We start from the raw sequence: 15,118 nt of genomic DNA on the forward strand, positions 1-15,118 counted from the left end.
ATAAAATGCCTCAGTGAGTCCTAGAGCTAGAAAGTGTTTACCTGAACATTGACCTTGGTGAGAGCAAGTTCATGGGACAGTGGAGGTGGAAATCAGATTGTAGGAGTGGTGTGGCACAACTCACCAAGACGAAGAGTGTAGTGCAGTCCTTCAAAAAGTGAGCACACTGCTCTGGTGGAGACTCAGAGGTTCCCCAAAGTCTCAGGATAAAAAAGGCACATCTTCTAGTATATTATTTGACTTGACATGAGAAAAAACATTTCTCATATAAAGGTATATAAACTTATATCTAAGATCCAAATAAAGTCAACTGAAAACTTAATTCTCTCCATGACAGCTCAAAGTGTTATGCAAGATTTCTGAGAATTCCTGGATGGAGGGGTGGGGGCTGGAGTCTTGCATGCAATTCCTGGATGGAGGAGTGGGGGCTGGAGGCTTGTATGCTCATGGTCCTCTTTGGTTTCATACTCTAAGCATGCATCTTGCAAACTCATGATTAATGCCACTATTCCAAACTACATTGACCACATCAGCCCTCATGCTTAACTTCCATAGACTCAACACAGCATGAAATTTTGGGAAATGAAGATGAGGTTGAGATTACAGCAACATAAACAACTTCAAATTGAGTATTAGATGCCCTATGACGAAAAATCCTCTGGCTAACACCACCAGAAATTTATTCCCACTGGCTATTTTGTTTTCTTGTTGGTTTATCCCTTCTTTCCTCTTCTCATGATTCTGCTTCATTACCACTCTCCTAGATTACTCTTGAGAATCCCAAATTCTTTCACTCTTTTATGTACTGCAAGTTCAGCTCTCTCCACCCTCCTCCCAAAGGCAGCTCTAGCTCTACCGCTGCATACCCAAATGGGTCAATATGACCAGCAGGTACATCTTTTATTTAATAGAAGCCACTCCAAAGTTGTAGTTGTGAAGAAAATTTTCTTCCCTTTGGAAAATGGTACATCTCCTTGGTCACCACAAAAACCCTTGCTAAGTCACTCATAATCTGTTATCTGGACTATTGCATCGCTGAGGATGCCTAACTGGTTTCTCCATCTTCATCCTTTTTTTTTTTTTTTTTTTTTTTGAGACAGGGTCTTGCTCTGTTACCCAGGCTGGAGTGCAGTGGCATGATCACGGCTCATTGCAACTTCGAATTCCTGGGCTTAAGTGATCCTCTTCACTCAGCCTCTCGAGTACTAAGGCTACAGGCATGCGACACCATGCCCAGATAATTTTTAAATTTTTTGTAGAGATGGGGGTCTCATTGTGTTGCCCAGGCTGGTCTCAAACTCCTAGACTCAATAAATCCTCCTGCCTTGGCCTCCCAAACTGCACTCCCAAATGAGTGCAGGTGTGAGCCACTGCACTTGGCCTCTGTCTCCATTTTTATTCACCGCCAATTTGTCTTCAACATGCCAGAGTGATATTTTTTCCAAAATTCGACTCCGATCACATCAGTCACCTGCTTAAAATTCTTTAATAGTAACCCATATTCTACAGAATAAAGTTCATATTCTTTAGCATGGTAAATATGATTCTTACCATTTTTCTGCCTCATCTTCCAATGCTTGTCCTCAGGTACCCTGTGCTTAAGCCATATTGAGTGACTTGTAGTTCACTGAATGAGTGATGGCCCCTCTTGACACACATCTTTACTTATATCATCTACCTGTTTGGAATTCACTTTTCACTCTCTACATCTGGTTAATACCTACTCATCTTCCAAAAAACACTTTGAAAGATGAGTATCCTATTGACCTAAGGAGATGGGGAAAAAGGCACGATTCAAAAGAGCCTTTGCTCTTCTCCACACTCTCCCTTAGGTGACCTTATCCAGGTCTCTATCTTGAAATACCATCATACCACATGACCCCCAAGTCTTTACTCCAGCACAAAATCTACCCCTACAATTCTAAACCCACACACCCAAATGGAAAAGCACCTCAGACACAATATATTTAAAATTGAACTCCTCCTCTTCTTCCAAAACCTTCTGCTATATCCCACAGTCCTGCATATCACTCACTGGACAGTCTTCTCTATCCCTATCCCTCCTGTCTTCCCACTGGACAGTTACCTGTCTTTGATTTCCACACACTCAGCATTGATGAGGAGTTTTAACAGAGCGCTTGCCACATGAGCTGTTTAGGGACAGTAGCCATGTCTGATCTCGTTAGTGCTCCAGGGCCAAATACATTTAATAAATGTTTGTTGAATAAATGAATGACTCCAAGAAAATGCACACCACTCACATGGTGGTTTTTATGATAATGGGATTTTGTATTTCTGATATTGTACAATGGCTACAATTTGCCTGATAGAAAATGCCTCTGGTTCATTCAACACCTTTAGTCAGCATGAAACTTGGCTCTTGCTCCTCAAACACCATACCAGCTTCCCCACCTTCTTGGTTTTGTTCACAGGGTCTCTTCAGTTCAGAATTTTCTTTTTAACATCTCCTTGGGTCAATAAGCTACTCATCTTTCAAGATTCACTCTTATAAAATTTACCTGTTCCATTCTTCCCTCTGAGTCTTCTTTATCCTTCCCTCAAACTTTTCTTTTGGTACCTACTATATTTTGCATTGCATTATACTATTTGTAGACGTGTCTTTTTTTTTTTTTTAAAGACTGAGTTTCGCTCTTGTTGCCTAGGCTGGAGTGCAATGGTGCAATCTTGGCTCACCACAACCTCCACCTCCCGGGTTCAAGCGATTCTCCTGCCTCAGCCTCCCGAGTAGCTGGGATTACAGGCATGTGCCACCACACTCAGCTAATTTTGTATTTTTTAAGTAGAGACAGGGTTTCTCCATGTTGGTCAGGCTGTTCTCGAACTCCTGACCTCAGGTGATACACCTGCCTCAGCCTCCCAAAGTGCTGGGATTACAGGCATGAGCCACTGCACCCGGCCACATGTCTTATCTTCCTACTATCCTACTGGATTGATATCCTGGGAATCAGGCACTATATCTTATGTTCGTGTCTTGAAACAGCAAGGTCTCAATACATATATTTGATTAGATGGAGATAATTAGCTACTCAACAATAGTGAAGTGACATCATGACAGTACCCTCTCACCACTCCTCCAGTGTGGTCAACAGTGGTATGGGATGCTTTTCCATTGTGCAATTACTAGATATTACATGAACAGTGCTGCTCAGCTATAAAGAAAATCCCAATCAGTCATCCCTTTTGGAACTTCATGATTGAAAATATTTTACTGTTGAAAACCACACAATTAGATGACATGTTGACATACTAAAATGTTTCCAAGCCAAAAAAGGAGGATAGGTGTTAAGTATTTTACCCTCAAACACTTTTAGTATATTACTGGACTCTGCGGTAACATGGTAAGTGCCCAAAGTGAACTCCTAGAATTGCTGTATTCCATGGCTTCTACCTTTTGAAGAAAGATACTGAGATCTATAGATCAATCTATGGATCAGTGGTGGGCAAGCCAGATAGAAACGCCCAAGTCAGAAAACCAACAGCCCACGTGGATGGTCAGATGTGGGTGGACATGCAATCAGCAAAGAGCAATTCTTGTTAGGCAGGACAGTCATTACCACCTGGCCCTTGTCGTAGTGGTGGTGATGGAGGTGGGTGGATGTGTGGGACATGTACCCATGGGGTCCAACCAGAGCAAGAAGTGACCCAGACTCTGGCAATGGGGCATAAGGCACTTGACTACCACCCTTGACAGGGCAGGACTAGGGCAAGGGAAGCTATACTGCAGATCTGAACTAAAGTACAGGCAGGGAGCTAAAGGAGTGGCTCAGAGGGGATGGTTGGAGTCCAGGAACAAGAGTACTAGTCACTGGTCCTGTTTGAACAGTTCAAAAGAAAATGGCCTAGAGCTCCTTATAGAAACAAGGCTCTCCCCAGTAGAGGTAGAGGGATTGGAAAATGATGCAACAGGAAAGGAACGTATCGAAGTCTTGTCTTGTGTGTAACAAATCACTTGTCTTCAATTTTGCTTTTACTTACAAATACTTATTTTGAATGCAAAATTTTTACATTGATCAAAAAGGATTGTGGTTGAGAAATGAGGTTCTAGAGGCAAGACTGGCCCCAAAAGTCTAGGACAGGGCAGGATCTATGCATGGAGGCTAAAGGGCTCCAAGGAGCATGTCACTAAAGAGCCGCCAACGTAGGCATTTCACTCTACCATCTCACTCTAACACTGGCACATTTTAGGGCCAGAGTTCTAAGAATATCTACATTCACTTGTGCTGACCCTCCTCCCTCAAAGACTCCACCCCTTTTCTATGTGAGATCTGGCGGCAGAGGTCAGGCTGTGTAGTCAGGAATTGCTGTGCAGGCTTCAGTTGGGAGGGTGTTTGGGAAAGTTAAGGGTTGACAACTGGAAAATGCAAGTCTGGTTTCTCTAAATAAACTATTCAGAGGTGAAATTATAATCTTTAAAACCTTAACTCTTTCAGTTCATTAGACAAATTTGCAATCTAAAGCTGAGGGTTTCATTTAGATATATCTGTTTGTACACTGACAATGCTGCATGAATTTTCAGATGACTAATCACTTGTTCCAGATTGAAACACTGTGTGATTAGCTGTATAGCCTTTAGAACAAGTTAAACAGTTTGTTAGCAACACAACTTTTTTTTAAGCCATATATTTAGAATGTTTTAAAAATTAGGCATGTTATTGAAATGTATACCAATCTTCTCACATCAAAAACTGTAGTCACTAGCACTAACTGCTAAATGTCTCTTTCTCCCTAAATAGAATCTCAGAAGATCCACTAATCACTGTTACATAAACACAAAAACAAATGATCTAAAGTCACTCTCAGGTTACAGTTTGCAAGTTGTCCTTCCTGAATTTATCGTGAAATAATTCCCTGTCAAGCTGGGGGTGGGTTGGTGGCAGCACCCAGATTAAACCAATACATTCCTGTGAACAAATTATCCAACAAATAGCAGCTCAAAGGGATGCTTTACATTGAGGCAAAACTGGAAAAATACAGCTTTTTTTTTTTCTTAAATTACATTTAAGGGGAAGAGTCAGAGGGAAAATATATTGATACCTATTTGTGAATGTCTTTCTAGAAGTTATACTTCAATCTTCTGCAGTTCTTGCTTTTTCAACATGTTAGCAATTGAGAGTTGTGGTGACTATGCAAGAAACCAGCAACAGCTGAAAATATCACATTCAAGAGGAGCAAAGTAACACCAACTTCTTCTCTAAATCCTGCCAAGAATTTCTGGTGACTCTCTGCAGAGACACTCATAGAAAATTTAACAGGAATCTTGACCTGTTAGAACTTGCTCGGATGGATTACAATCCTTTTGCCTCAGAAGCTGTCACTAATAAAAGCTGTTTTTAAAGAAATACAAACTTTTTTTTTTCTTTTAAGCAACAAATCCAAGTTGTTCCTGACCTCCTTAAATTAAAAATCACCATTGGGTTCATTCAAAAGTATAAAATAAATATGAAATACTTAAGAAGACACATTGGCAGAGATTACTCTAAATTCACAAAGAAAACTCTGAGGTAATGCCAAATAAACTGTTATGTAATCATTTATTAAGCATGTGGGATTACTCAAACATACCAGTTACCTAATCTTTCAAGTGGAAAAAATATTTCATTGGTGGTGAAGTAGGGAATGGGGATCAGGGATGAGCAAACCAGATAAAATATTTTAAAAATTCTATTCATGTACTCCAAAAATCTGGGGCTGTTCTAATCTTAAAACTTGCCTCAGTGGCTGCTGGTTTAGTTGCATGATTATAATGTATTTTCCTTTCTGTTGCATATTTTTTTTTAAATCAGAGTGTGACAGCATTTTTCTTTGGGTCTTTGCATGTGCATAAGCAGAAAAATCCCAAGCCCTCCACATTTGAAGTAGATATTGGAATAACCATTTTATTTCTGCATCCAAACCATCTCTGGTGTCTTAATGCTACCTGGTAGGCAGGGTACTATAGTGGTGAAGGGTTTGTATTAAGACAGACTTTATTTTGAAGCCCAGCTCTGACATTTACTAGCTACTTAAATTTGTGCAAATTATTTAATCTAAGTTTCATTTGCTTTGGCTGAAATATTGTGATATCTTGCTCATATAAACCATTTCACATAGCGTGCAACACTTAATAAGTGTTCAATAAATACTAGTTAGTATTATGAGAATTCTTTTCAACATGATTTTCCTCAAAGGAAAAACATTTTGGTGATGAAGGTCTGGGAATGGGGTGAGTACAGCCATGGGACTTTTGGAAGTCCCTCTAAATGGCTTCATCACCGTCATGAAAAAGTAGTCCAGTTTGAAACTAGGTGAGAGCCCACATACCATCACTTCTGTAGAAAGGAGACAGGGCCAGAAGATGCCACCCTCAGGAAGTCAGAGAGCAGTCTACACTGGGAAATGCAAACTAAGTGGCTCAACTGTGCCCTCTGGAAACTGTATTTTAGAAAAATATCACTATGGACTGATACACATATTGCCACTGCAAAGTAGGATGAATATTTGAAGGTGTTCTTGTTACTACTAACAAGAAGTCCATGAAAGTTTCACTGTGCACCCATCCTCCAATATCTACTCACTTACAAGTTACAGAACCCATATATGAGAAAGCAAATCCTCCTCTGTGCATTTTATATCCCCCCCATTGCCCTCTTAATACCTGCACCTGAAAACTAGTATTCATTGCTGTAACGGGAGACAGAAGGAGGGAATGGCAGAAACTATAAAACAAAATTGCATTGGATAATTTCTCCGAGTTGTAAGAAGAATGAAGGTTATTACCATAATATTCAGAGAAAAAGTAAAGCAATGCTTTGAAGTAGTAACTGAAGACTGAGAAGCAATGCCATAATTCTCTGAAACCTGTTGTTTCTTCTAGTTGTCTGTTCAACATCATGCAGTTTCTATCTTTTGAGATCCTGCAGGGAAAAAAAATGCCATTGGAAATTTAGGTTTTGAAACCAGTTGAGAAAAAGAGTTTTCTGCATTTTGAATTTTATATAGCATGATTTATGTTCCTCCATAAGAGAGCTGGAACAGCTCTAGCAAGTTGCCTAATCCCACTGCCAAGGTGCATATTTAGTCAGGCCAGTTCTTCCACAAGAAATAGATATTCGTCTAAAATGCCACCTCCACCTACATTTCTCTCAATAGCATGTTGGACACACACTTCTGCATGTCCAAAATTTCATGGTTAATGGTCCCTTTTTCCAATTATAAGAGAACAGATGATTTAGCTTTGACAAAATGATTAAAGGATATGTATTTCCTACATCAGTGACTTAAACTCTCATATTTAGAAATAAATTATGCAGCAATTTGATATGAACCATCCTGCATAAAACAGCCTGTAGTCACCAAATCTTTCAACTAGCCTGTTTTCACCACTGAACCATTATCAGTCTTGTAGGTAAGAATTACAAATATGAATCTCCTCCTTACCCTTTTGTTTCACCAACATTTTCCCATTAGATTAGATGCTGAGTGCAGTCATGTAAACCTCCCAAGAATCATGACCTACGGATAAAAAGCTACTTCTCGACCTAAGTGGAGTCAGCCACAGAATAATTTATGCACTAGTTCCTTCTCCTTGTACTTAGCAAGTTGTTTTAAATTTCCACAGGTCATGGTGGTTCTATAAATATTTTATATACATCAATATACATAAATGTTCTTGCCCATGCATACTAAGGCAATCTCTAAATAACATCAAGTAGCTCCAAGACTGGCCTCTCCAGTGACCTGCTAAAGCAGGCTTTGTGTTTTTGCACATTTGGAAGTGGCCTCAGCTGTTGGTACACCCACACACACACACAACCAGTGTATCTCCAATAGTGTGTCAAACTTTTCCAGCTGTCCTTTACTTGTCCACCAATGCATGCCTTTTGCCATTCTTTCACAATTGGTCATGTGCACAATTTCTATCCCAAATCCTACTGTGTCATGTGCACTATTTGTATCCTAAATCCTACTTAATATACTATAAAAACTTGCTAAGGAAGTGACAGAAAAAAAAAATAAGCCTGACTTCTCAATGGGACTTAGCATTATATGGTCACATGAATTTCCTGTATTACCCTGATCTTAGAGATGTATTAGTACATAGATTTGTTTTATTCTGGGGTCTATTTCCAACTTACAGTAATGATAATCATTTAAAATAGTTTGTTTCAGTATAGGACATTAGAGTAATACTTGCATTCAAGTGCATTTATCCATTGACTCTGAAAATAAATCATACTTCTGGAAATTTCTGAAGACTCAGGAATATTAATTAGGAAAACATTTCCTTACATTTCTGTTCTTTCTTGCTTTAGTCACCATTTCCTATTAATATTTAAGAAACTTGTATATTTAAAAGCTTTCTGGGGAAAACCTTCAAAAAAAATTCCTTTACAGTTTTACAATGCCTATCTCTACCCTCAATTTTGTGGAAAATCTTACCAATGTGTAGAGCGATAGTTTTTCACAAGTTGAAAGATACCCCAAAGTTTATTATGTCAAGCAGTTCATATGTAGGATCATTACCACAATCCTAATATCACAAGGCAAGACCAAGATACAAAGATAAGGCTACATTGAAGTGTTAAGCTGCCATGCATTGGAAAGGGCAACTACATTTCTTTTTTCTGTGCATATAAGTTACCCTATCTTTTCCAACAACCTATCAAATACCATTTAACAGTAGCACATAATTAGTGAAGTAGGCTTTGCAAAGTCTTTACAGAATCAAAACTGAACTCAAAGGCACAATCTATTTGTTTTTCCTAAGCTGGTCGAATGATCTTGGTTAGTGATTTAGACAATTTGGAAACAAACAAACAAACAAAAAACACAAGAAAAATACCGTGATTCCCATATCAAATCAGTTTTTTGGCTGTTTTGAGTTTTTGGAAAACAAAGTGATGAAAGTGCTAAAGCAAACAGGGTGCTAAAGGGCTCATGTAGTGTGCGCAGACTACCTCTTTTTGCACAGTCTAACTGGTCTAAACCGTGTCAAGTTAACGCAGTATGTTGGCTATAGAACTTTTGCGTACTGGTGCGGATCTAAAGCAACCATCTGGCTCAGAATCCACTTGAACTTCCTAAACATCTCTGGGCAGCAAGTCCATTATAAGCATGTTCTATAGCATCCAGATATTCAACCATGGCCAAAGAAAGGCCTCTTAAATGGAATCATAAGGCCCATTTACTGGTGGTTTGGTAAGAATGTGGTTGAAATACTAGGGCTATGCTTGTATCTACAGCAAAGTTCAGAAAACTTAAAAAAAAAAAAAAAGAAAAAGAAAAGAAAAAAACCCTTACACTTGAATGGTCAGGTGTAGTTTTGAGCTTTAGCTGACAGAATTAAGAGAAAGTTTGGCCCTTATGCATTCACATCCTTGCTCAATAAACAAACAAAACACAAATGAGTCTCCTCCTCCAGAACTAGTTTTTGTCCCTAAAAATGGAGATTCAAATGCATTTCTTAATTCTACTTGCTGAGCATTCCCCAATCACCACAATATGCTTAGGAACACACTCTCCTTTCTGTTCTCTGCCTCCTTAGATTCCCACCCTGGTTTAAAAAAAAAAAAAAAAAAAATTTGGTCAGACGCTGATTTAAAGAACTAAATTATACTTGCCTTTAACACAACTATAGAACTGAGACATAAACAGCTTTGTTTTCCCATAGTTAACCGGACATGATAATGCCTTTTCATTTGTTTCTTGTATTTGTTTCACAAATACGAGATCCACATTTTATTTTCCTGCCTCTTTTCCGGTAAGGTTGAAATACATGCAACCAAGTTAGGATCTCCCTCTCTCTCATCAATAATAAAGCCAGGAAGTTGGATTTGAAGCATTGTTTGTCCTTGTGGTCCTTGGAAGAACTCCCGGTCTTTAAATTGACAGTGCAGCTGTTGATCAAAATTATTCAGAAAATTAATATATTCTTAATTTTCTGTCAGACAAGTTGATTGTAGACTTATGAAATACTTATGTCTAAGTAAAAACAATGCCTATAGTTTCTGTAAGAAACTAACAAAAATAATTTGGATGTAGAATGAAAAGCTCAACCTCATTTCAACTCTGTACTAGATGACAGAAGTGCCCTGTGATGACCAAATGCTCGGGCAATGTAGGGTGACTGCCGCCAATGAGCCAAAATACAATCACATGCATCAGAGTCAGAGGCTGGCTCCTCAAAACAAGCCAGCTTTTCTGGTTAGAGATGGACATAGGATGTTGGCGGCATCTATCAACACCCAGATGATATGAGAAAGGGTGACATTTGTAGCCATATACCTTTCAGAAACAAACTAAATCTGCATTTATCCTTAAGAAAAAGAGAAAGGCATACAATAGGATTATGGTGCATGAGAAAGAGCAGCTGAACTAGTCAGATCTGGCTTCTAGTAGATACTTTAACCTCGGGCAAGCCCCACAAGCACTGTGAATATGAATGAGGACCCTCACCTGCAAAATTAGAGAACAGGCTTGGTGGTGTCCACATGCCTGTTCTCATGTAACTCATGTAACTCAATGGTCCAAACGTCTTTCATTTATGAAATAAGTATTTTAGATTTAAATGATGTAAATGTGGGTGGGGACCTATCCTATCCACTGTTGTATCTTAATGTCCACCACACATTTAGTTCATAATATGATATTGATGCTTAAAAAAATCCTTAAAATTAGGCTTTGATGAAAATCTTCACACATCTAGCAACAGCTAAGACAAGACAAAATTTAGGTCATGAAATGCTAAGCAATTCAAGACAGAAAATAGTGTTTTGTTCAAGTTCCATAATGCAATCTGATACTGCTGAAATTGAACTTGCTGTTAAATAGAAACATTTTTTTTTAAAAATCCTAAGGTAGATTTTTTGTGGTTGTTAAATAATTCAGGGACTACTTCAAGTTTACTAGAAACGCCCCAATACACAAGTATCTGATTAGACTGAAACCACCTATAAATTACAATCTCAAAATAATTTTTACTCCAATAATTTTTACTCAAAAAAATTTACTCAAAGTTTTACTCAAAATAATTGTGTGCTATCTTATCTTGACTTGTCAATCTTGATGGTGTGCATGGCCAATTTAGAGTTACACTGGACTTGTGTAATAGTTAACACTGTATCAACAGTTAGTTAGCACAATCTGTGATGCTTTTCTTTTTTTGGAAAAACCTATGGCAGATGCATCCGGAGACAAATTTTTCAATAGGCTCCTCACGGCAATGGAGGATGCCAAGTATCACATACAGAAGTAAAGGCAGTAGCTGCAAAGCATGTTCTCTAACATATTCATAACAGTGTACTATACCTTTCCTAGAGGCTTCCTTAGAAAGCAAAGTTTTTTTTTTAATCCATGAATAAATGACCAAGAGATTATAAAGAATGCTGTGTTTTGGAGGTGAGATGTGACAATGTCAATAAATGTGGAAGGTAAATTTCCCAACTTTTCCATACAGGCTTTTCTATTGTACTATAAATAAGCCTTATCTCTATATTTGTCCTTTAGGAACTCCGTTTCTAAAACAAGAGTTATCTCGGGAATCCCCTCTGTTGATTAGATAAAAATGACCTGACAGAAACAATTCTTAGGCATCTTTAAAAAATTATTTTAAAAGTCTAATATATTCTTAAGTGTTCACATTTGTACAACAGAAACAACTTTTTAATAGAACGTATTACTCTTGAAATGGTTGTTAAATTTGGCCAAAGCTCTTAAAAGGAATTTTGTAGCATCCTACACTCTGAATTCCGCAACTCAGTTTAATCTTCAGACACCCACTTGTGCCAGGGTCAGTGAAACAGAAAATTCTATCTATCAAAAACAGAGTTTACCGTTTAAAATGAGCACCCTCTTTGATATCATTTATTAAAAGCTACTTATGTCCCATACAAACTGCTATATTTGGCATTTATTGAAACTACCAATAAACTCCAATATCATTCTGATTTAGAAAACTTCAACATTTCTGGTATGTGGAAGAGTTCCAAACAGTTTGACCTTGCAATGTCAATGCTCTGTGAACGACAGCAGTGGCTTCTAGGGGAGCTGCTGAGCAGCTGTCATGTTTCCCAACAGAACAGGGTGCAACATTCTTCTGCTCACCATGTTTATTTAATGGCACACTCTAACTCTCAGGGCATGCAGTCTGCTGAAAACATCAACCATTATCATTGATCGCTCTGTACCCTTCACTATACAGTTTAAAAATTTTAAACCTATTTTACTCTCTTAACAATAAACACATGAAACACATTATTTTATTCTATTTGGGTCAAATTAATTTTATTATGCTCCATGATGAATTGCCACCAGTGCAACATCCTATTCACTATACATTTCAAAAAAAGAATTCACATACTAAACAAAATTTCAGTTGTCTGAAAATGAAATGATTGAAAGTCTTTATGAATCTCATACATACAATATGTGGCTAGCTGAAATTGTCTATCACGTAGCATTTAGATATAAAAAGCCTCATGCTAGTTTGTTAAATGCAAAGGCTACCAGACGACCATTTAGCTGGAGAATATACGGAAGGCTTTCAGACAACGCACAGGTATAGTGCTGCTCACAGTGCAGGATGGTAGAGGACTGAAACATGCAACCTTACACCTTACTTGGTAAAGCAGATTTAGTCTTCATGCCTGGACTGAACTCCACAGCTGCTGTGTTTCAACCAACAGTAATTTAGACTTTTTGTAACAACAACCAATGTCTTTTTCTTCTTTAAGAAAAAAAGAATAAATTAATTACCTTTGGCAAATTATATATCCATTTTACATGTTTAAAATTGTGCTTTGAACTCGAAGAATGGGTACTCTCTGCTGAGAGAAGTTCCTGATAAATATATATTATACCAAAGTCAGCTGGAAAATCTAGAATTTCTTGGCCACAAGTTAAGAGAGATCTTAAATTGGCATTACCCTGAAGACATTTCTAGGAAATTTAAAATGTTTTTTATATTGTCAAAAAGAAAAAATTTTTTCAATTAACATTACTTAAAATAATTATAATGTTCCATTTAACTTTTGTACAAACTCCTGATTTTATTGGTTAGTAGTTGTCCAGCCTCATCTGCACCAGATTGACTGAGCTCAAGCCACAATAAAAATGATAGTAAGTAGAAAAAGGTTTCTAGCAGCAGAGGGCACTGTTGTTGCAAGAAACAAAAAGTCTAGAATCTTTCCCATGTGCTTAAATTACTCTTGCAAGAAAGATAACATTCTTTGAATAACTTAAGTATTTTACTGCACCACTTACTGCTTTCAGCAACAAAACCTTTTAAATTATTTCTTATGATAACTAGATGCATGATCACTAGAGATTATGTAATAAATGGTTAAAATTCAAGCCACATCTTGCAGGTCCAGCCTGTCAAGATCTGCCAATACGAGATTTTGGTTGGTACAATTCTAGATAGCGTAATTTTTAGTTGGATATTGTGACTATAGTAATGAAATACATTTGGAACTACATTATGCATATTACTCAATGTGAGAAAAATATGTTTGTATTTAAATCAGATAATTTTCTACCTAAAATTTAAAGTAGGTAGGTATGATAATTAGCATTATAAATATGAAACAACCACCTTTAGGCAGATTAGTGTAGTGTAGAGAGGCAAAGAAACCCTAATTTTAACACACCATTTAGTATGCATAACAAATGTGCAGGTTGTAAAGTTTTATCTTTAAAAAAAAAAAATCTATCATTCAGTTATCTGTTCCAAGAACTCTGACATTGGGACCACCAATCTTTTAAGAAAAATGTAACTCTTCACATGCTATTTGACAAAAACCCTCAAAAGTTATCCAAATCAATGCATGTTCGGTTCCGTGTTTTAGCGCACACCTTTGCCAACTAGATTACATTTTTATGGTTGGTATTTCTGAACACCTCAATCCACACAAAGTGCAAAATAAAAATGCTAAAATTCTACAGTATTTTAGTACTATTCTGATTTGTATAGTTTTTTTAACCAAATATTGGAGTTACCATAATATTACCTCAGTTCATGTAGAATGAAAACTACTCCCTAAATCCCTGAAACTCCAACTTAAATTTTGTTTCAGAGTAATACCAAAAAAATTTTCAAAAATTTTGCTAAAAAGAGCCTGTCACATTTGCTACAGCATAAAAATAACCCCAGTCAATAACAAGTATTTAAGGGCTCCTTATGATCCCAGTCTGCAAATACCACTGCTATACCAATAACAGGCAGTATTACTGTAAGAGGTGTGTTAATCGTCTTCCCCACTAGTATCTCTGTAGTGATTTTATGTAGAGCATATTGCTAAAATTTGAGAAACTACATCGGTGTAGTGATGTCTACAGAACTGTGCAATGTATCAGCTTCAACATTCATATGTAGCATTGTATTCAAAATAAAGGGGCTAAAGAAACTAAGGTCTGCATCACTTAAAAAAGAATGTAGTGCTATACTAGATTTTTTTTTAAGAAAATTTAGGTACAGAAAAAGTAGGGTATGAAAATAGTGTTTTCCTTCTGGCATTATAAGTAAATTACATTAAGGTTTTTGTCAGTCTCACATATAGTATTTAAACTCCCTTGTTGATGGAATGAAAAATATTCACAAATCAAGTGAGCATCCTGGTGTAAACTTGCACACAATAACAGGGAGTAGCTTTGTAGAGGATTACGACAAACCTTTACAGATTAAATGAGGTATTGCACAGATTAAAAAAAAGCAAAAAAGGCAACAAAAATATACAGCAAATTGGTAGAACATTTACATGATAATTTTACAGAATCCACAGACAGAAAGTAGTGTTTAGTATTTCACCTTAAAAATATATATATATATATAATATATAGATCAGTCTTCCCACTCATCATCATCCTCAAAATCTTCTTCATCATCTTCATCTTCATCTTCATCTACAAGAAAATCAAGACAATTAAAACATATGCATAAATAAAATGACATTACATAATTCTTGGGTGGTTTCTCCAATTATTTAACTCCTGAAACACAGATAATGTGACTCCCAGAAGAATCTAGTTACTAAAACAGTTTAAAGTGAATCTAAAGAAATATATCTATAGAGTATGATAGTAAACTAAAGATTAAAACAGGGCTTAGAAGACAATGGTTCTA

The 15,118-nt window shown here is 37.0% G+C and overlaps 1 protein-coding gene across 1 annotated transcript in view; it reads right to left on the reverse strand.

The window, feature by feature from the left end:
• Positions 1-12,260: 12,260 nt before the first annotated feature.
• WASL (WASP like actin nucleation promoting factor) overlaps positions 12,261-15,118 on the reverse strand; it is a 67,061-nt gene continuing 64,203 nt past the window's right edge. The window contains exon 11 of the mRNA NM_003941.4: positions 12,261-14,898. Coding sequence (NP_003932.3) covers positions 14,837-14,898 — 62 coding nt within the window. The 3' untranslated portion in view covers positions 12,261-14,836. The remainder of the gene's footprint in view (positions 14,899-15,118) is intronic.

Source organism: Homo sapiens, chromosome 7 (assembly GCF_000001405.40).
Source record: "Homo sapiens chromosome 7, GRCh38.p14 Primary Assembly".
Classification (NCBI taxonomy): domain Eukaryota; kingdom Metazoa; phylum Chordata; class Mammalia; order Primates; family Hominidae; genus Homo; species Homo sapiens.